Genomic DNA, 25,420 nt, shown 5'->3' on the forward strand with positions numbered 1-25,420 from the left:
TGAAGTAAGAAAGAATGCAGAACGAGTGGCTGTTGGACATCGTGTGATTTTGTGTTTCTTCCAGGACACCTTGGAGTGTCTTGAATGTGGTTTGTGGTCACTATTGTGTTTGTAGCAGCAAGAGGAGATAGCCAGGAAGGATAAGCAAAGTCCACCTGCTGCTGTCACCCCTCGTGTTGCTTTCATTCGACTCATCAAGAAACCCTCAATAATGACTTTAATGTGATGAGTTAAATTTAAGGATATTAAAAACGTCTTGAAGGTAAGAAGGACTGAGGCAAACACCAATTTTGAAAAAGGAAAACAAACTTTCCACTGAATTGTTTTTATTCCAACAAGGTTTTGTGCATAGAAACAACTTACATGGCTTTTAATTAATACTCAAGGACACTGAATAAAATGCCGTTAGATAATTACCTCCACTTCACAAACTTGGCTAATTAGCTCCCATAGAGTTACATTACCTTGATAGTTTTTTAATATCTGACTCTCTTAAATTTTTCAAGGAGCCTAATTTAAACAGCCTTAAAACTTTAAAAAATTTTTCCCACTACTTAAGTAACTCTTGTAAAGCTAGTAAATCCAACATACACATAATGGTAATTTGAGCTTTCAGATTTTCAAATACTGTTTGTGAAAAATTCTCAATCACAATTAAACATTGAAAATCAAAAGATTAATATGTAAGATTTTGTTAAATGTTTTAAGAACCTTAAATATAAACCTGCACAGATTATCATAATGATCATAAAATTTATTCCTAAGCACAACTAGAAAGTATTATCACTAAAGTTGACTTTATCGATATGAAATACTTATTTCTTTACTTAACCCAGGGGTAAGTCATTTAATTTAGCCAAATAAGAAGAACAAATTTACCTTCTTGGGAGGGCCAGAATGCTGTTGGGACCACGGCACAGTTGGAGCACGAAGACTGAGATGTGTGCCATGAGTGCTAAATTCTTGCAGGAGATTCTGTGCATACTTAGGTGAGCATGGTCGGCCTTCTTTTTTACTTTAGTTTTTGTACCATGTCAGTGGGGGACACCAGGACTGTGCCTTTCAGCTTGGAGTTCAGTTTCACAAAGCAGTAGACCATGGCATTTTAAAGTCTTTGTCTTTGGGTTTATTATTATGGTTTTTTGTAACCTATTTTAACATTCTGTAGTGGGATTTGGATGGAAAGAATTCTGCACCTACAATCAGGTTGAAAGTACTATCTTCCCCTACTTGATTTGGATTGAAGTATCTATTATTGTTCAGTTGGTTCCCGTGTCTTTTCATGTTTCATGCATTTTAGGTCACGATTTAGTGGTCATATTGATAAATTCATAATTCAGTAGGCTTTATATTGATAAATTTAATGGACCAACCACCACTATAGATAAGATGGTCTTATTACCGGGAAGCTATGACTTCATAAAAAGTTGAATGGTCAGGAAGGACTGTGTTATGCTGCAGTAATAACCCTCAGATCTCTGGTTTAACATGACGAAGGCTCATTTCCATTCGTGCCACATGTCCACCACAGGTCAGCTCTGCCCCATGTCTGCTGCTCTCAGGGCAGAACAAGGGACCACAGATCCCGGTGATAGGAGAAAGGAACTCAAGATGGTCTTGTACCAGCAATGTGCTGCTCATCCCAGAAGTGAGACACCTGACCTACATTCGTTCACCAAATCATAAAGGGGCCAGAGCCTTTGGGCGCCTGTGGGGCAGAGGGAGAGGAGAACCAGCTATGCTAGGGATGATACAATCTACTTACATCTTAAAGCATTTGAGGTCAATCAGAAGTTATTTTTTATTAACTTTTCCTAATTCTCATTATAGGACTTTAGTAGAAAACAATATAGGCAATCATACAGCAGTCGCTGTTACGTTGTTACACACATTCCGGGTGGCTTCACCATATTATTACATGTAGCCCTGACAGTCATTCTCTTATCCCCATTTTTCAGGTGAGTAAACAAACTCAGAGGAATTAATTTACTCTGAATGTTTCTGATGTTAATATTCCTAATAGGAGATACTGTTTGAACTGGCTTCTTGGTTTTCTGTCATTTATGTTAAATGAAAAACAACAGTAGGCCAAATTGGAGGTTGAGCTTTTAATTTGATTTTTAAATAGGAATGTGAGCATTTGGTTGTTAAAAACTAAGCAGCGTGGTTCAGACTGGCTGGTTTCCTAGATCAGATGCTATGGCTTTCATCCTGTGGTAATCTCAGGTCTCAGATTTTCCTGCACTAAGGAGTTGGAACATCCAGGAAGATTGAAATCAGGGTCTCTGTCATAGAGATTTCTTTCTCCCTTTGCTTTTTCATGTCTCATACTTAACATTTTTCCATCAGATCTCAACATTTATCTTAATTCTGATCCAAGTAGTAAACCATACCGTGGGGAACATCAGATGCAGGGCCTGGCTGGCTGGGGAGCATCCTTGCAGAAGCGGCATCGGTAAGTGAAGGTTCAGGGCCTGAGCATGTAAAGGACAGCCCAGGATTTGGACATCACTTGACTCTTACTAAAGAAGTTCTTCCTTTTCCCCATGTGTAAGAATATGAACCTGGGTTAAGGCACCTTTTGTTGTAAACTATTCTAATATCTCTTAAAAAGCACGTTGGGCTTTCCTGTTGGGATTCTTTGAAGCCGATGGCAGTGGTATTGTGTGGTGCTGGAGAGTGTGGCTCTGAGCAAGTCTGCCTGCCTTGGATTCCTAACTGGGACCGCACAGCAGGCTGTGGGGTCCAGGCAGGCTGGCTTCCTCACCTGATAACCTGGGGACAACGGTACTTGCTGACAGGGCAGTTGTGGGGTTAGAGTTCACAGGTGCAAAGCTCTTGTAAAGAGTGATTTAAAAATGGTAGACAATAAACATTAGGATGATGGCTGAGAGAGTGAACTTAGTTCCTGTTCTGACAGTCAAACTTTCCTGATAACCAGTGCAATGCATTTCAGACTAAAGCCTAAGTCATTTTAGCAGACTTCATTTGGTTTTCAACATGGCCTGATGGTGGCTGAGGACAGTCTGTGAGGAGCTATCCTGTCCCCATGCCTGGGCACTCCCCAGTTGGCCACAGGATCTGCCTGTCTAGGTCCCTGCCTAGAGGCCGTTTTGCAGATTTTTGTCTGGGTCCTTCCCCACTCGGGGATGTTGCCTCGAGGCTGACATCTGCTATGCCCTAGCTTCCTCACCGGATAACCTGGGGACAACGGTACCTGCTGACAGGGCAGTTGTGGGGTTAGAGTTCACAGGTGCAAAGCTCTTGTAAAGAGCGATTGAAAAACAGTACACAATGGCCAGGTGTGGTGGCTCACGCCTGTAATCCCAGCACTTTCGGAGGCTGAGGTGGGCGGATCACGAGGTCAGGAGTTCAAGACCAGCCTGGCCAACATAATGAAACCCCATCTCTACTAAAAATACAAAAAATTAGCCAGGCGTGGTGGCAGGTGCCTGTAATCCCAGCTACTTGGGAGGCTGAGGTAGGAGAATCGCTTGAACCAGGAGGTGGAGGTTGCAGTGAACCAAGACCGTGCCATTGCCCTCTAGCCCGGGCGACGGTGCAAGAGTCTGTCTCACCAAAAAAAAAAGTATACGATAAACATCAAGACTGTCCTCAGCTACTCTACCTGTAATCGCCTCCCTCCACCCCAGATTGCTCTTGCTCTTGTTTGATTTGACTTTATAGCACTCCCCGGCTCTGGAAGTTGTGCTGTGTGTTGATGTTTTCGTTGTGTGTCTCCCCCATTAAAATGTGCTCCACGAGAGCCATGGCACCCTTTCTCCCTCTTCCTAGAACAGTGCTTGGCACATATTACACTTTCAATAACTGTTAATAACTACATGAGCAAAAGCACTCAGCAAATGCTATTCTGTTTTGATTGAAATTGGCAGGCCTTTAGTAATGTGGTTCCCACTCATTTCTACTCACCAATACTTACCCAACACTTTTAAAAACAAATAGACGCCATGCTACTCAGTTCATGAAGAATTTTATTTAACTTACGGGATTCTTTGTTTTCCCCAGCCCTCCATGCCTACTTTAGAGACTGAACATACCCTACTAGATAGTAGGCCAAGGCACATTCAGGATTTCAACATGTGCTTTGAGAAATACGTAAGCACATGGAAATGCTTTCAGCTACCTGCCTCTCAGGGCCCAGCATGGATCTCTTCCATGATTCTTGGGTGCCACCTTTTCCAAATCTCAGAGCCAAACCAAAAGCTTTTATTGCCTGAAGCTAAGATGAGATTTGGCAGTGATTTCACAGGAATGATACGTGAGGTGGGCAGTGATTGGGAAAGAAGAAATTAGAAACAAAATTGGTCTGAACGGCCCTGTTCAAATATTTGAACCTATACACAGAAATCTTGCTTCTCCTCTTTACTGAAAGTACTTCCGTAGCCCTTTCTAGAGGTTGGGCTTTACAGTTCAAGAAGTGGAACAATCTACACCTTACATGATTTGCACCGAAGACCTTGACGGGGACAGTCAGCACTTCAGTGGCTTATCACATAGACTGCTTGTTGGATCCTATCTTTGAAAGGGTTGTGTTAAAAATTGAACTCATGTTTCATTTTTTAAGTGTGATTTAGGTTCAGTCCTAAATAAAACAATGATATGTGCTTAGTTCTGCAATAACAAAGTCAAGTGTCCTTAGCTGAAGGACCACAAAACCACCATTGCACCTATGATTCAGGCCCATAAGTGAAGGACGGTCTTGCGCCCTAGCATTGTGACCCTGTCAGTCTTTGGGATGCTTTTGGTCATAGATAATTGAGAACAAACCTATTTGGAACATCTCATTCTCTTGTTCATGTCTCTGGAGGCTTCATTCTCCAGAATGGGAAGCAAATCCCCTAGCCAGCCCGAATGCCTCTCTTCCAGGATCTATACAGGAGAAAGACCAGAATTTTCCAAGCACCTGGCCTTTTTTTCTGAGTGCTTGTATGTTTCTATCATTGACCTAAATGATAGGATGAAATTAGAAGTGACACCAACAAAGTTTTGGTTTATGATGAAAGAGCACTTGTTAGTACTGAAGGACTGAGTGCGCCCCCACCACCATTCCTATTTTCAGAGCTGAGCATCATCTTAAATAATGTAATGCTATGATCCTAACTGATTGATTCTCTTGACAAAAAGAGTGAGTTAATGTATCCCTATTATCAGAGAAGAGAGTGGACAGTACAAGAAGAGGAAGTGAGTGGGGCAAAGGTGTTAGCATAGTCCCACTGAGACACATGAGGCTCCTCACACCTCAGTCCTTGTTCTTGCGGTGAGCATGGGCTGAGAGTCTCCATATGGACAGAGTGGCAAGCTGTGACCTCTGGCCCACAGGGACTCACTGGCCACCAGACCCTGGCTCTGTCCCCATCCTCTCAGCTCCTTACCTCCTCCATGTGCCTTGTAGACAGCTACAGGAGAGACAGAAAATTCACAGGCACAGATTGCTCTGATGGTCACCAGAAATTCCAGTGAGAATAGGGACAGGATGACAGAAGTTACTTGACAAGTGGAAATCAGCGTGGCCCAGGCATCTGGAGGGAGTTCCCTGACATCTCTGAGCTGCACAGCCACCTGGTCCAGGACATGCACGTACATGTTCCCCAAGTGAGCTAGAATGGTAGGGGTGCCAAAAGTTTCCAGAAGCTGCTGGTAATCCATCCTGGTCCGGGTGACTCCAGCCGGCAGTGACCCTGGAGTTAGGGGGTGCTCTACAGCCAGGCTGGCTACATGATTTGCAGGGCCCAGTGCAAAATGAACATGCAGGAAATGCAGAGACCTCCCTCTGCAGTCACTCTGTTGACCTGCCATGGTGTTTTTCGTTTGCTATTCCATGTCTTGCTTCAGGAACAGACCTGCGTGGGTGTGTGGACCCATGCCTTGTGACGTGGCACAAGGTGTGCATCCAGCCCAACCCTCCCTGTGCCCATCTCTGATGGGGAGTGCAGCTGCACTTTCTGGGCAGGGTCGGGGAGTGGGCTGCCAATGGCCCATTATTGGATGGACCCTGCAGGAGGATGCAGCCTCCACTGTCCCATCAGACTTAGCTTACAAAACATAAATTCTAAGATAGTTGTTGAGAACTTCAAGACATCCCCACGTGCAGGGCCTTCAGAGTGTGGGCCTTGTACATTTGCACTGGCCACCTGCCTGTGGAGCTACCGGGACTCCAGCACAAGGTGTCTGAGCCAGACTTCAGCATGTGGAAGCCAGGTGTCAGGGGCTTCAGGTGAGGCATGAATGGCCCCCTCTGGCATGCAGCTTTCATGTCTAGATGTGCACCTGGGAGCCCCTTGCACCCCTGACCCTGGCTTTTATTCCATCCTGGAGGAGTTTGCCATGGGCTGTGAGGATCTTAGATCCAAGGTCCACCCTGGGAGGGTGGCAAGGGTTCTCACAGGCCACGCAGTCATTTGCTGAGGCCTTTGAGGTTCTTTACTGAGGAATCAACAGAGGCAGATAACATTTCCTATGCTGACACGGGTCCCTTGTCACAGTTGAGCGTGCTTGAATTATTAAGCTCAGAGATTCCCCCTGGGAGTGAGGGGAGGACACCATTGTGGGGAGCAGGGGGAGGCTTAAGGAAGCCCAGGATGTTCTCAGGCTGCAGTAGCAAACCCTGAGACCCCATAAGAGTGCATAGGAAAGGCTGCTGAAGTTAGAGCCCAAGTTCATCCAGACATCTCTGACTCGCCTCTGAGCAGCTGTGACCTGGCGTGCCTGTGTCCACAGGCTTCCTTGTTCAGCCCTTGCTCTCTAAAGTACAGGGCATGTTTGGCTTGGTGACGACGCCACAGGCTGTCCATGTTGCCCTCTTGAAATGCCCCCTCACCCTGCCCCTCCCCAGCCTAGGCTGTGTGTCCAGCAGCAGCCATGAGCCCCCTGCTTACAGACGGAATGAAGGAAACAGGGCAGAGAGGGCACATTGCAAGTCTGTGGAGAAGCAGCCACAAGGGGTGCGACATGAGTAGATCACAGAACAGAAGGGAAACAGAGAGTGAGGGAAGGTGAGATGGAGGGAAGCCAGCAGCCCACGTGAGAAACGGGCAGGGAGGGAGGGAAGATGGTGGAACCCAGTTAGGTCTGTCCCGAAGCCTTGAGGGGGCTTTCCTGGGAGGGAGCTTAGCCGGGGCGTCCCCTGGGAGGTGCTTGTGCCTGGTGAGCTCTCGGGGCGGTGAGGCCCTCTCGTTGTCAGGGTCTTCTCCAGAGCGCTTCCCTGGCATCGGAGCTTATAACCACCTCATGCTGCCTTCCACTAGCAAACGTTTTTGGAATGGAACGAACACGTTTATTTGCAATTTATTCCCCGCCTTCCCTCTGTTTTTGGCATAAGAAACAATTCAGGTTTATCAAGGAGAGTCCAGGGTCAGAATTTTTCTAACCACCAGGTGGCGCAGAGCAAGCTTACAGATTCCAGAGCAGGGAGAAAGCTGGTCCTGACTAAAGCACCAGGGCCCACTGCGACCAAGACTTTACGCGGACCAATCCCAAGCCTACTACCCTACCGACAGAGAGTGAGGATAAATTATAGAATTGGTGCATAGGATTTGCGCTTACCGATCAGATGAAAACTTGCAGCCAGGGTGTGTTCTTTGAAGTACACATGCATGTACACAGACACTCGGCGTGCAAATGCTTATTCTATTCACCCCTTGTCCCTTTCCTGGCCCTGAGCCGTGACAAAATGACATGGTGGATAACAGCTGTTCTGAGTGTGGCTGAGGCTCTGTCCTGGGCACTGCTTCTCTAGGGCGGTTCTCTGTGTGGTCTGTTCTTTCACTGCCCATCATTGAGCATCCCTGGCCCTACTCAGGAAATACTCATGGCATCCCTCAAGAACCATGATAAGCCAAAAATGTCCTCACACGTGTGCAGGGGCTGCACCCTGGGTTGGGGTATTGTCCCCTCCTGGGAACCACAGACAGATTTGAAAATGCAAGATCCCTCTTTTTCACCCCTCTGCCGTAAACACTTAGGAAATGTCTGCACACACCATCATAGATCTGCGCTGTCCTATGGGATAGCCAGCTGTTAGGATTTCAGTTAATTAAAATGAAAAATAAAATACAGTTCCCTTCTTTGGTCACACTAGCCATATTTCAAATGCTCCATAGCGCCATGTGGCTACTGGCTACCATTTTGGACAGTGCACACATACACAGAAGGCATCTCTATCACTGCAGAAAGTTCTATTGGATAGCCCTGGTCTGGAATATTCTTTTGAGGCACATCTAAGCACTGTTTTAGCCCCAAGCCACAGAACCCTGCATTAGAGGACCCAGTGCAGGAGTGTCTGACAAACCAACCCTGGCAATTTAGCAGCCACAGCACTCAGAGGACCCCTTCCCCCCACAGGTCATGTAGGATGGAGGTCTGCTCTGAAGCTCTGGAAGCAGCTCTTACCGGTCACCCCTCATTTGTCTGCCTCTCTCTGAGTCCTGGAATCCTACACAGGCTACATCAGGGTGTGTATTGTCTGGGCCCCCAAGCAACCTGTCATCTTTTTTGTCTGACTGACTGGATTTATTCTCTCCTCCTTGAAAGTTCACAATGTCACCGAAAGACAAAGTCCTTGGCTCTTTTTTCCCTTTCCAACTAGATTATTGGAGTAGAGGAAGGTTTTCCTAGTTTAGCTTCCCAGAGACATTCAAAAGTTTCTGATAGGAATACCCGCTACTGGCCGGGCGCGGTGGCTCACACCTGTAATCCCAGCACTTTGGGAGGCCGAGGCGGGCAGATCAAGAGGTCAGAAGATCGAGACCATCCTGGCTAACACAGTGAAACCCCGTCTCTACTAAAAATACGAAAAAATTAGCCAGGCATAGTGGCGGGCACCTGTAGTCCCAGCTACTCAGGAGGCTGAGGCAGGAGAATGGTGTGAACCCGGGAGGCGGAACTTGCAGTGAGCTGAGGTCACGCCACTGCATTCCAGCCTGGGTGACAGAGCCAGACTCCGTCTTAAAAAAAAAAAGAAAAAGAAAAATACCCCCTGCCCTACCCTACCCTCCTCTGAGTTACACAGAGATCGTTAGGCAGTAAGTGCTTGGAAGCAGGGAGGCATGAAGGTTCCTCAGTAAAACACTGTGGGAGTTGCCTTCAGGATATCCACCACCCTGCCCAGACAGGCTTTGCTGCTCCCAGTAACAATGATATGTAAGCGATTAGTGCACAGAGAAAGAGCGAGAGGGGGAGATGGATTTGCACTAGAAGCTCCACAGGTGAAGGTATGAGCCTTCTGAAGAATCGAGGGCCCACCCAGTACTTTTTTCATCTCAACTGTTTGTTTCTTAACTCTTTCCAGCATGCGGCATTTCTCAGAGTGAGTCACAGATGGTTATTCTGAAGAGATGCTCCTTGAAAAAAATTCCAAAAAAAAAAAAAAAACCCAGCTGAAAATGTTTAAGAAACTCTATGTAATATTTTCTGGAACTACATGCCACAGCCTATTAAAGGTTTTGAGAAGTGCTATAGACAAGAAAGCCCTTGAATATTGTTTGACTCAGCACGTCTGTAACACACTGGACTGTAGTGACCTCTCAGAAAACATCCACTCACACTCTGTGGACGAAATCCCAGGAATACACAACCATGATATACTACCCGCAGGTTGTCCACCCCACACCTCAAAGGCAGTGATGTGAAGGTTTTCTGAGTTCAAGCTTCTGCTGCACAGCAGCACTGAGCTCTTGCCTGCCCGAGAGAAGGAATTTTTACCATGGTGAGAAATAGCCATTTCATAACCCTCATAGCGCTAGTGAGAAAAGATATCTTATTATCATTGGCAACCACAACTGCACTGGCAGCCACACAGCACTTTACAGTTTACAGAGGGCATCGTTAGTTTTCAATGCCTAACAACCCTGGGCAATAGGAAGACCATTATCAGGGTAGGATCATTTCCACAAATTTAAGAAATTTACCCTAAATCATTGAGTTGGTGGAGTAGAAATTCACAATGAAATCTTTTGCTTCTAAGTCCCTGGTGTTTTTCTCTATCAAGTGTGATCCAGGGTGGCGTTTGCTGCCAGGGGCTTCTTCCAGCCACATGCTGTAGTTCTGCTCCCTAGACCTAGGGTAAAAGTCTACTTCTGTTGCTGTTGTTAAGGCCCAGGACTTGGAATTAATAGACAAGGATTCCAATTCCAGGTGTGATATCAGAAAACCCATAAACCCCTCTACACTAGCTTCCTCTTTGGTGATCATTCCTCTTCGGTGATCGTTCCTGCTTAGCATGGTTGTCAGGATGTGCTAAGACGGAAGAGAATAGAACACGATTTACGCTTCAAGGAGCTTAAGGACCCCAAATGAGCTGATCCACCCTTGACAGGCAGCGTAGTCCAGTGGTTACCGGAGAGGACTCTGGAGGCGCCCTGCAGGGGTCAATGCCAGTGCCCCGGGCCACATGACCTTGGGCAAGTGACTTTCCCTCTCTGGGCCTCTGTTTCTCCACCTTTACATGGGGTTCTTTGGAGTCCTCACAGCTGAGTTGTTGGAGAATTGAATGAGGAAACATATGCAAGCCACTTAGAATGATGCCTGGCACACGTTTGGGAAGTCACTTTAGAAGGGCCTTTCTGGGAAGGATGTAGAAGGTGAACCCAACAACCCTGACGTGGTCAAGTCCATTTGCCAGGCTGAGGCTGGGTGGTGGCTTGGCAGCTTCTGGACGGCAGGGAACCGGTTTATGGACAGGCTGGCACTGCTCTTTCAGTTTTATGTTTCAAATTCCGAATTTCCAAAGGAAAACATCTGGTCTCTCAAAGGAACCAATGAAGGTGAAACGGCTGGCATTTATCCCAGGTGACGGTGGCAAGAGTACAAATCTGAAGTCTGACTGCATTGCCTCTGACTCAGCAGACCTGTCCTCAGCCCAGAAAATGCCATGTCCTCGCTGGGCTCAGCTCAGCATCCCTGAGGGTGAAATCCACCCCTTTTCTATGCTTGGTCCAAGCGTCTATGTGTGGTGTGCCCTGCCCTGGGCCCTGGCTCTTGGCCTCAGGCCGTGATTGCATTTCCACCGCCAGGAAGGAAGACCTGTGCTCTCGTGTGAGGACCAGCTGGCATGTACTTAGCGTAGACACAGGATCTATCAGGGCAGGGCTCGCAGAGCAGAGCAGAACAGGGGGCGTCTGCTCACCCTCCCAAAGGTATCGGTCCCATCCTGGCTCACCTCATCCCTTTTTTGGGGGCCCCTTCTCCTCTTCCAGACTTTTTAAATAGGGGTTGGGGCTCCCCCTTTCTCTCTTTTCTCTCTTTGTGGACACAGTACTTCCTGTGGGTAATTTTTCTGATGATTCTTGAATTTCAGCCTCTGCACCAGATCCGCCTCCTGAGTCACGCCAGGCCAGGGTACAGGGTCCCTGGGTTCTCACAGGCTCCATCTTACCTGGGAAACTCTATCCTCCCTTCACCTACTTTGGGGATGACCACAACACAGACGGCTCAGGTCTTGGGGGCAGCACTGAAGGGGGATGGGGAGACACCTTCTTTCAGGTGTTTTCTCCACAGCAGCCTGGCTCTCAGCCCATCTCCACCCACCCAGGGGTGCTGGCCCATGGCAAGCACAGGGATGCCTGACACTGTCATCGGCCCCCAGGATGCACCCCAGGGCTTGGATGGGAAGTGGGATACAAGATGTTCATAGTTCACCATCAGGGGCTATAGTCTGGGGGCTGGAGGGACTGGCATTGACTTGATGGTCATCAGAGACCTGGACCTCAGTTCCAGGGGCCCTGACCCACCTGCCTTTCAAGGGACCCTAGCTCCCAGGCTCTGTTTCTCCCTACACCTGCTTTTAGCCCCAGTTTTTCATGGCTTTAATTTTTCAACTCTGGGTTGGTGCTTTTTCAATCCCTATCTTCAGCCATGACTCTTCTAAAATTTCAGCCCCACCCAGTTGTTTATTATCTCGTTGACGTGAAGCTCCATGAACCCAACTCCCTCCTCCCATTCCTCTACCTCCTACTTAATTCCCTTCATGTTGTGTTTGGTTCTTCCAATCCTTCCTTGTCCCAATGATCAAGTCTTGATTGTTGTCACCATCTCTGTCATTGTGAAAATATCATTTTTATCATGGTTACCATAGGCTTGACTGATAGGAATTGAGCACATCAATACACTTTTTTTTTGGTTTTTTTTTTTTTTTGGAACAAGACACCCTGCTGAAATCCAGCCTTGTGGCCAGGAGGATGTGGCTGTCGGTGAGGAGGCCCTGAGTCTGGGCTCTCATGCCGGTGCCCGCTGTCTCATCTCTTTACATTACTCCATGTGCTTTTCTCAAACCACTCCCTGCCTTTGGCCCCACAGCACCCTAGCTGTGCGTCCGCCTGGCTCCCTCTGCCCCGCCCCTCATGTCCACACACCCCAGCCCTCCCACTGGAAAGGTCAGGTTCGAGTGCCCCTTCCAGCCCCTCCTGCCATGTCATCTCCAGTTCATTCCACCCCGCTCACTGGGTGCCAAGCCCACTGTGACCACTGGAAACAGGGACCCATCTGCCTGTCACTTTAACCACCATGACCCCTGGAAACAGGGGCCCATCTCTCTGTCATTTTAACCACCGCGACCCCCAGAAACAGGGACCCATCTGCCTGTCACTTTTGTCTGGACTGTGCTTGTTTCAGGTGCTTGTATTAACTCCCCTCCCAAGTTCTAACCCCTTGTGACCCAGCAAACTCCTTCTAATAAAGTGAGCTCAGACATCTGCTACTGGCTGAACAAAGGGAAGTAGGCAGATTCCCTGATGTTCTCAGGCAAGCAGTGGAGGTGGAAGCTCAGAAGCAAGGCTGCCCACGCGTCCCGCTTCCCGCGGTCTGGACAGCTGGCTGAAAGTGGTGTGAACACAGCTATGTGTGAGCCAAAAGTTCTGTAAATGAGGGAGTTTCACCCTTTAAAGAAATTGTTCATGAAGAAAAGAGTCAACTTCATTTGTCTTTGGTTTAAATCTTGGCCTTACATTAAAGTGAGGTTCAAATATATTTTCAAATCTTCTCATATTCACTCCTGTGCGCATGTTCTTCACATGAGTTTGTGTGTGACTGTGTATAAGCACATGCATACATAGCTCCTAGCTGCATCAGAAAGACAACAAAAACAAAAACTGTCCCACGCAGTTTTTATTTATTTTTTTTTAGGAACACGTCTAGAGTCCTTCCTATGTGCTAGGCACTCCCCGAAGTGCTTTTGCAGGTATTAACTCATTTAACCTTTGTAAGGATCTTACGAAGTACATACTGTTACTACATTTGATTGGTAAATGAGGAAACTAAGGTACAATAATCTTTCTGTTAACCAATTCATTACTCATTCATTGGTTAACTTTGACTCACCTCGATCCATATTCTGACTCCCAAAACATCAGGAACACTGTTCATGTGTAAGTCATGGAAGAGCAGGACTGCCTTCAGACAGGGCATAAACACAACTTCATTGACTTTCCTGGGTAAAGATTGAAGGCTCATCACCATTACAATTTCCATTACTTAGCCAATTGTACTTTGATCCAGGAGGTGGGGTAATTTGCAACTGTTCTCATAGGTTTTCATTGGATTTACATATTTAATCTAATATATCATTGAGAAAGAGTTTACCAATCCACCAGACATAGGAAAAGAAAGCGAGGGGAAAACCACAAATACTGTGGGAATTCTCTGAAGAGTTAGGGTGACCAGCCATCTTGCATCTTGGTTTGTTTGCCTGGGCTGAGAGGTTTCTTTCTTTCTTCTTTTTCTTTTCTTTTCTTTCTTTTTTTTTTTTTTTTTTGAGACCGTGTCTTGCTCTGTTCCCCAGACTGGAATGCAGTGGCCTGATCACTGATCATGGCTTACTGCAGCCTCCACCTCCTGGGCTCAAACAATGTTCCTGCCTCAGCCTCCCAAGTAACTGGGACTACAGGTGTGCACCCCCATGCCTGGCTAATTTAAAAAAAAAAATGTTTGTAGAGATGAAGTGTCACTCTGTTACCTAGGCTGTTCGTGAACTGGCCTCAACCAGTCTTCCTGCCTCGGCCTCCCAAAGTGCTAGGATTAAAAGCATAAACCACTGTGCCTGGCCACTACCTTTTTTTTTTTTTTTTTTTTCCAAAAAGGTCCTTGTGAGGATTCAGCTGCCATGCTGTTTAACTGTGGAGCTCTGGCTTACATGTCATCCCTAAAGCTGTTTCATATAGGGGTAAAGTAGATGCCAGGTTTACACCTTCTCCTCTGGTTAATCTCTGAAAGCAATTACTTGACATGCAGGGACTTCTCCTGGCATGACAGGAAAGTGATGGCCTGGGGGTCAGGCATGAGGACCCAGTGGGCCCTGCTGTGACATAAGCAGGGTTTTCAGCCCCTCTGCATTTCACTTTTCTGTGATGAGGGGGCTGGGACCAGGTGCACTTCAAGGTCTCTAAAGAATGGAAGACTCAGTATTTATGAAAAATTACTTAATTACCTCTGCCTGCAGGTTGTTTTAAATTTATATTTTCTCCACTTTCACAGGTATAAAAATTCATTATCTTAGGTCTCATACACATTTCCTGCACCCATAAACCTTGCTATGGGAAAATGGAAATAGGCATTAGGCCTCAAGCCAGTTTTCACAACGTTGATGGCTACATCAAGTCTGCTCTAAAATCCATTGCACTAGGCCGGATGCAGTGGCTCACACCTGTAATCCCAGTACTTTGGGAGGCTAAGGTGGGGCAGATCACCTGAGGTCAGGAGTTTGAGACCAGCCCTGCCAGCATGGCGAAACCCCGTCTCTGTTAAAAATACAAAAAATAGCCGGGCGTGGTGGCAGGCGCCTGTAGTCCCAGCTACTTGGGAGGCTGAGGCAGGATAATTGCATGAACCTGGGAGAGGCAGAGGTTGCAGTGAGCCAAGATCATGCCATTGCACTCCAGCCTGGGCGACAGAGCAAGACTCCATCTCAAAAATAAATAAATAAATAAATAGATTAAATAAATAAAAAAATCCACTGTGCAAAAAGGGAACACAGCCTTCTCCTGTAGAGACAAGTTTTCTGAGTGGGGACTCAGCTCCCCTGGGGCATCAGAGCACACTACTCTCAGCCTTGCAGGAGGGAGGGTGCCTCTCGCTTGTTAGAACTTTTCTTTCCTTGGCTGGGTGTGGTGGCTCATGCCTGTAATCCCAGCACTTTAGGAGGCTGAGGCGGGTAGATTGCTTTAGACCAGGAGTTCAAGGCCAGCCTGGGCAGCATGGCAAAACCCCATCTCTACAAAAACATAAAAATTAGCTGGGTGTGGTGGCAGGTGCCTGTAGTCCCAGCTTCTCAGGAGGCTGAGGCAGGAGAATCGCTTGAACCTGGGAGGCAGAGGTTGCAGCGAGCCAAGATTGTACCACTGCACTCCAGTTTGGGTGACAAAGTAAGACTCTATCTAAAAAAAAAAAAAAAATTAATTAATTTAAAAAAGAAGTAGAACATTCCTATCCTTTAGGATTTTGGTCTTCTGCTGCCCAGTCCTGGGAGGCTCCAGCAGCTGCTGCCCAGGCTCCCCTCTTCTCTCAGCTCCCAGAGCCTGCGCTAATGGGCACTCGATGGCATCTGTCTCATTCCACTGTGCTGTACAATACAGCCAGCATCTCTTCTGCACTGTCAGTTATTAAGATTTAGGGATAAGGACTATATTTTACATCAAGGTTGCTTTTCATCCATCCATCCATGCATCTATTCTGAGCATCTGTTTGTGGAGGATCACATTTCATAAATGGTCCTGTGAGTCCTGGCAACACAAATGCCTGGGCTGTGCTCTGCAGCTCACCCGGATGTCTTCAGAGATGGACGCTTGGTTCTGTGGTGGGCGGACCCTAGCCTGTTCCCTCAAGCAGCCATGCATTGGCAACTTCTAGGACTGAGAAGAAGCCCCAACATCGTGTTCATATATGGTTGTGTAAAATGTTCTAATGTAAGCCAACCTCTCTTCCCATCTCAGATCGCCTGTGTGAAGTATATGGCTGGAGAAATGTTGGTGTCCGGCTGAGGGGAGTGTCTGGAGTCATGTATTAGGGCAGCTGTAACAGTGCCACAGGAAGCTGGAGACCAAGCGTCAGAAGGGCCACACTCCTTTGGAAGCCTCTCGGGGGAGACCTCTCGGGGAGGACCCTCTCGGGCTGGCCTCTTCTGGCTCCTGATGGTGGCTGGCAGTCCTTGGAGCTCCTGGGTTTGCAGCTTCATGGCTCCAATCTCTGCCTCTGTCCTCACTTGGCCTCCTTCTCTCTTGTCTCTGTGCTCTCTCTCCTCTTCTTATAAGGACTCCAGGTCATTAGGTTTAGGCCCCACCCTAATTCAGTATGACTTCACTTTAACCAATCATAGCCGCAAGGATGCTATATCCAAATGAGGCCACGTTCTGAGGTTCCAGAGGTACATGAAGTTGGGAGGGACACTGTTCAACCCAGGACAGGTCAGTTGTCTGGAAACTGACTTGGAGATGGAGATCTGTGCATAGGAGGCTTAGGGGAGGGTGTGCTGGCAGCAGGACATGAGTTAACTGAGAGGCAGCTGCGAATTAAGGGGAGTGAAGCACGCTAACATGATGGGTGATGATTGAGGTTTTATTTTTATTTTAAATTTAGGGGTACATGTGCAGGTTTGTTACACAGGGAAACTGGTGTCATGGGAGTTTGTTGTACCGATTATTTCATCACCAGGTATTAAGCCTATTATTCATTATTTTTCCTGATCCTCTGCCTCCTCCCACCTTTCACCCTCCAGTATGCCCCACTGTGTGTTGTTCCCCTCTATATGTCCGTGTGTTCTCATCATTTAGCTCCCGCTTATAAATAAGAACATGTGGTATTTGTTTTTTTGTTCTTGCGTTAGTTTGCCAAGGATAATGGCTTCCAACTCCATCCATGTCCCTGCAAAGGACATGATCTCATCCCTTTTTTATGGCTGCATAGTATTCCATGGTGTATGTACCACATTTTCTTTATCCAGTCTATCATTGATGGGCATTCAGGTTGATTCAATGTCTCAGACTAACAGCGGACCTCTCAACTGAAGCCCTGCAAGCCAAAAGAGATTGATTTAGATTTCTGGCTGATTTATTGAAACGCTGACATCATTGATACTAACAAAATTTGTAACATGCCATTACAATGAGAACATCAATGACAAACTGGTTAATAAACATTGATAATTTAAAATATGTTTGTTGTTAGCTACTATGTAAGAAAACTTGAAATGTCCTGAAATCTTACATTTTATGTATAAAATAAACACGCTAGAAGTTTCCCCAAATTTGACAAAATTTGACATGGCATTACCCATAATAAGCTGTTAGGTCAAAAGGAGCTTTTCTAAATGATCAATAATAGAAAATAAATTTTGACCGATCATGCTACAGAAGACTATCTATTCTCTTTATAGAAAAATAGTATAAAATCATTGTCATATAAAAAGAAGAACAAAGAGTATGAAATCCTAGAATATAAGGGAAATTGTTACAAAATTACAGGCTGGGCACAGTGGCTCACACCTGTAACCCCGGCACTTTGGGAGGCTGAGGCAGGCAGATTGCTTGAGCCCAGCAAGCAATTCAAGACCAGACTGGGCAACATAGCAAGACCCCATCTCTACAAAGAAATTAAAAAGTTAGCTGGGCATGGTAGCATGTGCCTGTTGTCACTGCCATGCAGGAATGTGGGGCAGGAGGATTGCTTGAGCCCAGGGGTTCAAGGCTGCAGTGAGCCATAATTGCACCACTGCACTCTAGCCTGAGTGACAGAGTGAGACAGTCTCAAGAAATACAAAAATAAAAAAATTATAACACGGAGTAAATTAAATTTTTTTCTGGATGTTGTGACATTCATGGTACTTGTTAACTTTTTAAAATTTTTGAGTGCTGTGATTTTTTTTCTCCTGCCAAATAAAGATGCACTTGTACCTAATTTTGTATTCTTTTTTTTTTTTTTTTTTTTTGAGATGGAGTCTCGCTCTGTCGCCAGGCTGGAGTACAGTGGCGTGATCTGTGCTCACTGCAACCTCTGCCTCCCAGATTCAACTGATTCTCCTGCCTCAGCCTCGCGAGTAGCTGAGACTACAGGCACATGCCACCACGCCCAGCTAATTCTTGTATTTTTAGTAAAGACGGGGTTTCACCATGTTGGCCAGGATGGTCTCGATCTCTTGACCTCGTGACCCACCCACCTCAGCCTCCCAAAGTGCTGGGATTACAGGCGTGAGCCACCGCGCCTGGCCGTTAATTTTGTATTCTTATTTTTATATTTTTCTTAAAGACACTTTCAAATTGTATAAGCTTCAGGTCCTACAGAATTTGGATGTCCCCTAATCCTCAGAACTAGGCAGCTGTCCAGCCAGAAGAGAGGGCCAGGATGATCAATGGATCTAAACATAGGAATTGAGGGTTCCTAGAATCTCAGGCCATGGAGGCCCTGAGCAGGCAGTCCAGTGCCTTGATGAGGAGGCTTGAGTCCAGGTCCTGGAAGTGTGGATCAGGGTAGAGCTATGCATGGACTTGCCCACAACAACCCAAAGGCTCTCTTCTCCAGACACTCCACAGCCCCCTCTGGGAGTGGAGGCAAGTATCGACCTCCAGGCTTGGCTGTTTTGGTGGCTGGAGGTGAGGTTTGGAAGCAGGAGGAGGGGATAGCCTTCCTAAAGGGACATATTTAAGAAATTTGGGTGTATCTGTCGTCTGTAGTAAGCTTTAAATAACCACAAATGGGGAATCAGGCCAAAGACATGGGGCCAGGAAGCTGCTTCTGGGAGCACAATGTGGCCATCTCTGCCAGGGTGGAGACCCCACAGGCAGCTCCAGAAGGCAACTGCATCCTGTGCACACTCACAACTCCCAGGACAAGAATGGATCTCTGGCCCCTTGGGGACCATTCTGTTCCTGCCCATTCACTAGGTAAAGAAAAGCCAGCATGTGGCTGCAAAACTGGACAAGGGCCACAGTGACCCTGCTGGGTTGGTACCAGTGCTCCCAGCACAGGCAGGACCATGGCCAATCTCACCCCTGAGCTTAGGAATTCAGTCTCATCAGGTCAAGACTAATTGTTTTGGAGAACTGGTTGTAAGCTCTTTGTTGAAACTGACCATGGGACACACGCGGGGCTGGTAGAATTCCCTGCATCCCAGAGAATGAGAGTCCCATTGGGGGAGCCTCCCGTACCCAGTCTGGGGGTGCACAGCAGTCTGTGCCAGTTCCCTGGGAAGCTGGGCCTGAGGATGGAGGGGAACATCTCAGGGTCAGGATGGCATTGCACTTTGCTCTCTGTGCCTGCTTGCCCTGTCCTCACCCAAGCCAGGTGACTCACTGAGATTTCCTCTCATAGACTCCCCAGCCACAGCAGGGGCAGTAAGGTCCCAGCACACCTGGATTTGTTTCCAGACACTTAGAAACTCTTGGCCAGCACTGTTCTTTATTGCGCTAGGGTGCCACCGTCTTATTTTTTATTTTTTTTTATTATACTTTAAGTTTTAGGGTACATGTGCACATTGTGCAGGTTAGTTACATATGTATACATGTGCCATTCTGGTGCGCTGCACCCACTAACTCATCATCTAGCATTAGGTATATCTCCCAGTGCTATCCCTCCCCACTCCTCCCACCCCACAACAGTCCACAGAGTGTGATATTCCCCTTCCTGTGTCCATGTGATCTCATTGTTCAATTCCCACCTATGAGTGAGAATATGCGGTGTTTGGTTTTTTGTTCTTGCGATAGTTTACTGAGAATGATGATTTCCAATTTCATCCATGTCCCTACATAGGACATGAACTCATCATTTTTTATGGCTGCATAGTATTCCATGGTGTATATGTGCCACATTTTCTTAATCCAGTCTACCATTGTTGGACATTTGGGTTGGTTCCAAGTCTTTGCTATTGTGAATAATGCCGCAATAAACATACATGTGCATGTGTCTTTATAGCAGCATGATTTATAGTCCTTTGGGTATATACCCAGTAATGGGATGGCTGGGTCAAATGATATTTCTAGTTCTAGATCCCTGAGGAATCGCCACACTGACTTCCACAATGGTTGAACTAGTTTACAGTCCCACCAACAGTGTAAAAGTGTTCCTATTTCTCCACATCCTCTCCAGCACCTGTTGTTTCCTGAATTTTTAATGATTGCCATTCTAACTGGTGTGAGATGGTATCTCATTGTGGTTTTGATTTGCATTTCTCTGATGGCCAGTGATGATGAGCATTTTTTCATGTGTTTTTTGGCTGCATAAATGACTTCTTTTGAGAAGTGTCTGTTCATGTCCTTCGCCCACTTTTTGATGGGGTTGTTTGTTTTTTTCTTGTAAATTTGTTTGAGTTCATTGTAGATTCTGGATATTAGCCCTTTGTCAGATGAGTAGGTTGCGAAAATTTTCTCCCATTTTGTAGGTTGCCTGTTCACTCTGATGGTAGTTTCTTTTGCTGTGCAGAAGCTCTTTAGTTTAATTAGATCCCATTTGTCAATTTTGTCTTTTGTTGCCATTGCTTTTGGTGTTTTAGACATGAAGTCCTTGCCCATGCCTATGTCCTGAATGGTAATGCCTAGGTTTTCTTCCAGGGTTTTTATGGTTTTAGGTCTAACGTTTAAGTCTTTAATCCATCTTGAATTGATTTTTGTATAAGGTGTAAGGAAGGGATCCAGTTTCAGCTTTCTACATATGGCTAGCCAGTTTTCCCAGCACCATTTATTAAATAGGGAATCCTTTCCCCATTGCTTGTTTTTCTCAGGTTTGTCAAAGATCAGATAGTTGTAGATATGCGGTGTTATTTCTGAGGGCTCTGTTCTGTTCCATTGATCTATATCTCTGTTTTGGTACCAGTACCATGCTGTTTTGGTTACTGTAGCCTTGTAGTATAGTTTGAAGTCAGGTAGTATGATGCCTCCAGCTTTGTTCTTTTGGCTTAGGATTGACTTGGCGATGCGGGCTCTTTTTTGGTTCCATATGAACTTTAAAGTAGTTTTTTCCAATTCTGTGAAGAAAGTCATTGGTAGTTTGATGGGGATGGCATTTAATCTATAAATTACCTTGGGCAGTATGGCCATTTTCACGATATTGATTCTTCCTACCCATGAGCATGGAATGTTCTTCCATTTGTTTGTATCCTCTTTTATTTCCTTGAGCAGTGGTTTGTAGTTCTCCTTGAAGAGGTCCTTCACATCCCTTGTAAGTTGGATTCCTAGGTATTTTATTCTCTTTGAAGCAATTGTGAATGGGATATCACTCATGATTTGGCTCTCTGTCTGTTGTTGGTGTATAAGAATGCTTGTGATTTTTGTACATTGATTTTGTATCCTGAGACTTTGCTGAAGTTGCTTATCAGCTTAAGGAGATTTTGGGCTGAGACAGTGGGGTTTTGTAGATATACAATCATGTCGTCTGCAAGGGACAATTTGACTTCCTCTTTTCCTAATTGAATACGCTTTATTTCCTTCTCCTGCCTAATTGCCCTGGCCAGAACTTCCAACACTATGTTGAATAGGAGTGGTGAGAGAGGGCATCCCTGTCTTGTGCCAGTTTTCAAAGGGAATGCTTCCAGTTTTTGCCCATTCAGTATGATATTGGATGTGGGTTTGTCATACATAGCTCTTATTATTTTGAAATATGTCCCATCAATACCTAATTTATTGAGAGTTTTTAGCATGAAGGGTTGTTGAATTTTGTCAAAGGCTTTTTCTGCATCTATTGAGATAGTCATGTGGTTTTTGTCTCTGGCTCTGTTTATATGCTGGATTACATTTATTGGTTTGCGTATATTGAACCAGCCTTGCATCCCAGGGATGAAGCCCACTTGATCATGGTGGATAAGCTTTTTGATGTGCTGCTGGATTCGTTCTGCCAGTATTTTATTGAGGATTTTTGCATCAATGTTCATCAACGATATTGGTCTAAAATTCTCTTTTTTGGTTGTGTCTCTGCCCGGCTTTGGTATCAGAATGATGCTGGCCTCATAAAATCAGTTAGGGAGGATTCCCTCTTTTTCTATTGATTGGAATAGTTTCAGAAGGAATGGTACCAGCTCCTCCTTGTACCTCTGGTAGAATTCGGCTGTGAATCCATCTGGTCCTGGACTCTTTTTGGTTGGTAAGCTATTGATTATTGCCACAATTTCAGATCCTGTTATTGGCCTATTCAGAGATTCAACTTCTTCCTGGTTTAGTCTTGGGAGAGTGTATGTGTCGAGGAATTTATCCATTTCTTCTAGATTTTCTAGTTTATTTGCGTAGAGGTGTTTGTAGTATTCTCTGATGGTAGTTTGTATTTCTGTGGGATCAGTGGTGATATCCCCTTTATCATTTTTTATTGCATCTATTTGATTCTTCTTTTTTTCTTTATTAGTCTTGTTAGCGGTCTATCAATTTTGTTGATCCTTTCAAAAAACCAGCTCCTGGATTCATTAATTTTTTGAAGGGTTTTTGTGTCTCTATTTCCTTGAGTTCTGCTCTGATTTTAGTTATTTCTTGCCTTCTGCTAGCTTTTGAATGTGTTTGCTCTTGCTTTTCTAGTTCTTTTAATTGTGATGTTAGGGTGTCAATTTTGGATCTTTACTGCTTTCTCTTGTGGGCATTTAGTGCTATAAATTTCCCTCTACACACTGCTTTGAATGCATCCCAGAGATTCTGGTATGTTGTGTCTTTGTTCTCGTTGGTTTCAAAGAACATCTTTATTTCTGCCTTCATTTCGTTATGTACCCAGTAGTCATTCAGGAGCAGGTTGTTCAGTTTCCATGTAGTTGAGCGGTTTTGAGTGAGATTCTTAATCCTGAGTTCTAGTTTGATTGCACTGTGGTCTGAGAGATAGTTTGTTATAATCTCTGTTCTTTTACATTTGCTGAGGAGAGCTTTACTTCCAAGTATGTGGTCAATTTTGGAATAGGTGTGGTGCGGTGCTGAAAAAAATGTATATTCTGTTGATTTGGGGTGGAGAGTTCTGTAGATGTCTATTAGGTCTGCTTGGTGCAGAGCTGAGTTCAATTCCTGGGTATCCTTGTTGACTTTCTGTCTCGTTGATCTGTCTAATGTTGACAGTGGGGTGTTAAAGTCTCCCATTATTAATGTGTGGGAGTCTAAGTCTCTTTGTAGGTCACTCAGGACTTGCTTTATGAATCTGGGTGCTCTTGTATTGGGTGCATATATATTTAGGATAGTTAGCTCTTCTTGTTGAATTGATCCCTTTACCATTATGTAATGGCCTTCTTTGTCTCTTTTGATCTTTGTTGGTTTAAAGTCTGTTTTATCCGAGACGAGGATTGCAACCCCTGCCTTTTTTTGTTTTCCATTTGCTTGGTAGATCTTCCTCCATCCTTTTATTTTGAGCCTATGTGTGTCTCTGCACGTGAGATGGGTTTCCTGAATACAGCACACTGATGGGTCTTGACTCTTTATCCAATTTGCCAGTCTGTGTCTTTTAATTGGAGCATTTAGTCCATTTACATTTAAAGTTAATATTGTTATGTGTGAATTTGATCCTGTCATTATGATGTTAGCTGGTTATTTTGCTGGTTAGTTGATGCAGTTTCTTCCTAGTCTCGATGGTCTTTACATTTTGGCATGATTTTGCAGCAGCTGGTACCGGTTGTTCCTTTCCATGTTTAGTGCTTCCTTCAGGAGCTCTTTTAGGGCAGGCCTGGTGGTGACAAAATCTCTCAGCATTTGCTTGTCTGTAAAGTATTTTATTTCTCCTTCGCTTATGAAGCTTAGTTTGGCTGGATATGAAATTCTGGGTTGAAAATTCTTTTCTTTAAGAATGTTGAATATTGGCCCCCCACTCTCTTCTGGCTTGTAGGGTTTCTGCCGAGAGATCCGCTGTTAGTCTGATGGGCTTCCCTTTGAGGGTAACCCGACCTTTCTCTCTGGCTGCCCTTAACATTTTTTCCTTCATTTCAGCTTTGGTGAATCTGACAATTATGTGTCTTGGAGTTGCTCTTCTCGAGGAGTATCTTTGTGGTGTTCTCTGTATTTCCTGAATCTGAACATTGGCCTGCCTTGCTAGATTGGGGAAGTTCTCCTGGATAATATCCTGCAGAGTGTTTTCCAACTTGGTTCCATTCTCCCCATCACTTTCAGGTACACCAATCAGACGTAGATTTGGTCTTTTCACATAGTCCCGTATTTCTTGGAGGCTTTGCTCATTTCTTTTTATTCTTTTTTCTCTAAACTTCCCTTCTCACTTCATTTCATTCATTTCATCTTCCATTGCTGATACCCTTTCTTCCAGTTGGTTGCATCGGCTCCTGAGGCTTCTGCATTCTTCACATAGTTCTCGAGCCTTGGTTTTCAGCTCCATCAGCTCCTTTAAGCACTTCTCTGTATTGGTTATTCTAGTTATACATTCTTCTAAATTTTTTTCAAAGTTTTCAACTTCTTTGCCTTTGGTTTGAATGTCCTCCCGTAGCTCAGAGTAATTTGATCGTCTGAAGCCTTCTTCTCTCAGCTCGTCAAAGTCATTCTCCATCCAGCTTTGTTCCGTTGCTGGTGAGGAACTGTGTTCCTTTGGAGGAGGAGAGGTGCTCTGCTTTTTAGAGTTTCCAGTTTTTCTGTTCTGTTTTTTCCCCATCTTTGTGGTTTTATCTACTTTTGGTCTTTGATGATGGTGATATACAGATGGGTTTTTGGTGTGGATGTCCTTTCTGTTTGTTAGTTTTCCTTCTAACAGACAGGACCCTCAACTGCAGGTCTGTTGGAGTACCCTGCTGTGTGAGGTGTCAGTGTGCCCCTGTGGGTGGTGCCTCCCAGTTAGGCTGCTCGGGGGTCAGGGACTCACTTGAGGAGGCAGTCTGCCCGTTCTCAGATCTCCAGCTGCGTGCTGGGAGAACCACTGTTCTCTTCAAAGCTGTCAGACAGGGACATTTAAGTCTTCAGAGGTTACTGCTGTCTTTTTGTTTGTCTGTGCCCTGCCCCCAGAGGTGGAGCCTACAGAGGCAGGCAGGCCTCCTTGAGCTGTGGTGTGCTCCACCCAGTTGGAGCTTCCTGGCTGCTTTGTTTACCTAAGCAAGCCTGGGCAATGGCGGGCGCCCCTCCCCCAGCCTCGCTGCAGCCTTGCAGTTTGAGCTCAGACTGCTGTGCTAGCAATCAGCGAGACTCCGTGGGCGTAGGACCCTCTGAGCCAGATGCGGGATATAATCTCGTGGTGCGCCGTTTTTAAGCCCGTCGGAAAAGCTCAGTATTCGGGTGGGAGTGACCCAATTTTCCAGGTGCGTCTGTCACCCCTTTCTTTGACTCGGAAAGGGAACTCCCTGACCCCTTGTGCTTCCCAAGTGAGGCAATGCCTCGCCCTGCTTCGGCTTGCGCACGGTGCGCGCACCCACTGACCTGCGCCCACTGTCTGGCACTCCATAGTGAGATGAACCTGGTACCTCAGATGGAAATGCAGAAATCACCCGTCTTCTGCGTCGCTCACGCTGGGAGCTGTAGACAGGAGCTGTTCCTATTCGGCC

General features: G+C 45.8%; 4 annotated features.

Moving 5' to 3' along the window:
• Positions 6,759-6,818: an enhancer, noted in NCBI's record as "active region_13083". NCBI's record gives its function as "activates an Ori minimal core promoter by ATAC-STARR-seq in GM12878 lymphoblastoid cells {active_cell/tissue: GM12878}" and the evidence as "EXISTENCE:reporter gene assay evidence [ECO:0000049][PMID:35858748]".
• Positions 7,171-7,673: an enhancer, noted in NCBI's record as "H3K27ac-H3K4me1 hESC enhancer chr18:10560411-10560913 (GRCh37/hg19 assembly coordinates)". NCBI's record gives its function as "activates a minimal SCP1, AML or CMV promoter by ChIP-STARR-seq in naive H9 embryonic stem cells {active_cell/tissue: H9 hESC(naive)}" and the evidence as "EXISTENCE:reporter gene assay evidence [ECO:0000049][PMID:30033119]".
• Positions 7,249-7,543: a silencer, noted in NCBI's record as "tiled region #9434; K562 Repressive DNase unmatched - State 25:Art". NCBI's record gives its function as "represses a minimal TATA promoter and a strong SV40 promoter by Sharpr-MPRA in K562 cells {active_cell/tissue: K562}" and the evidence as "EXISTENCE:reporter gene assay evidence [ECO:0000049][PMID:27701403]".
• Positions 24,616-25,197: an enhancer, noted in NCBI's record as "OCT4-NANOG-H3K27ac-H3K4me1 hESC enhancer chr18:10577856-10578437 (GRCh37/hg19 assembly coordinates)". NCBI's record gives its function as "activates a minimal SCP1, AML or CMV promoter by ChIP-STARR-seq in naive H9 embryonic stem cells {active_cell/tissue: H9 hESC(naive)}" and the evidence as "EXISTENCE:reporter gene assay evidence [ECO:0000049][PMID:30033119]".

This window comes from Homo sapiens, chromosome 18 (assembly GCF_000001405.40).
Source record: "Homo sapiens chromosome 18, GRCh38.p14 Primary Assembly".
Taxonomy (NCBI): domain Eukaryota; kingdom Metazoa; phylum Chordata; class Mammalia; order Primates; family Hominidae; genus Homo; species Homo sapiens.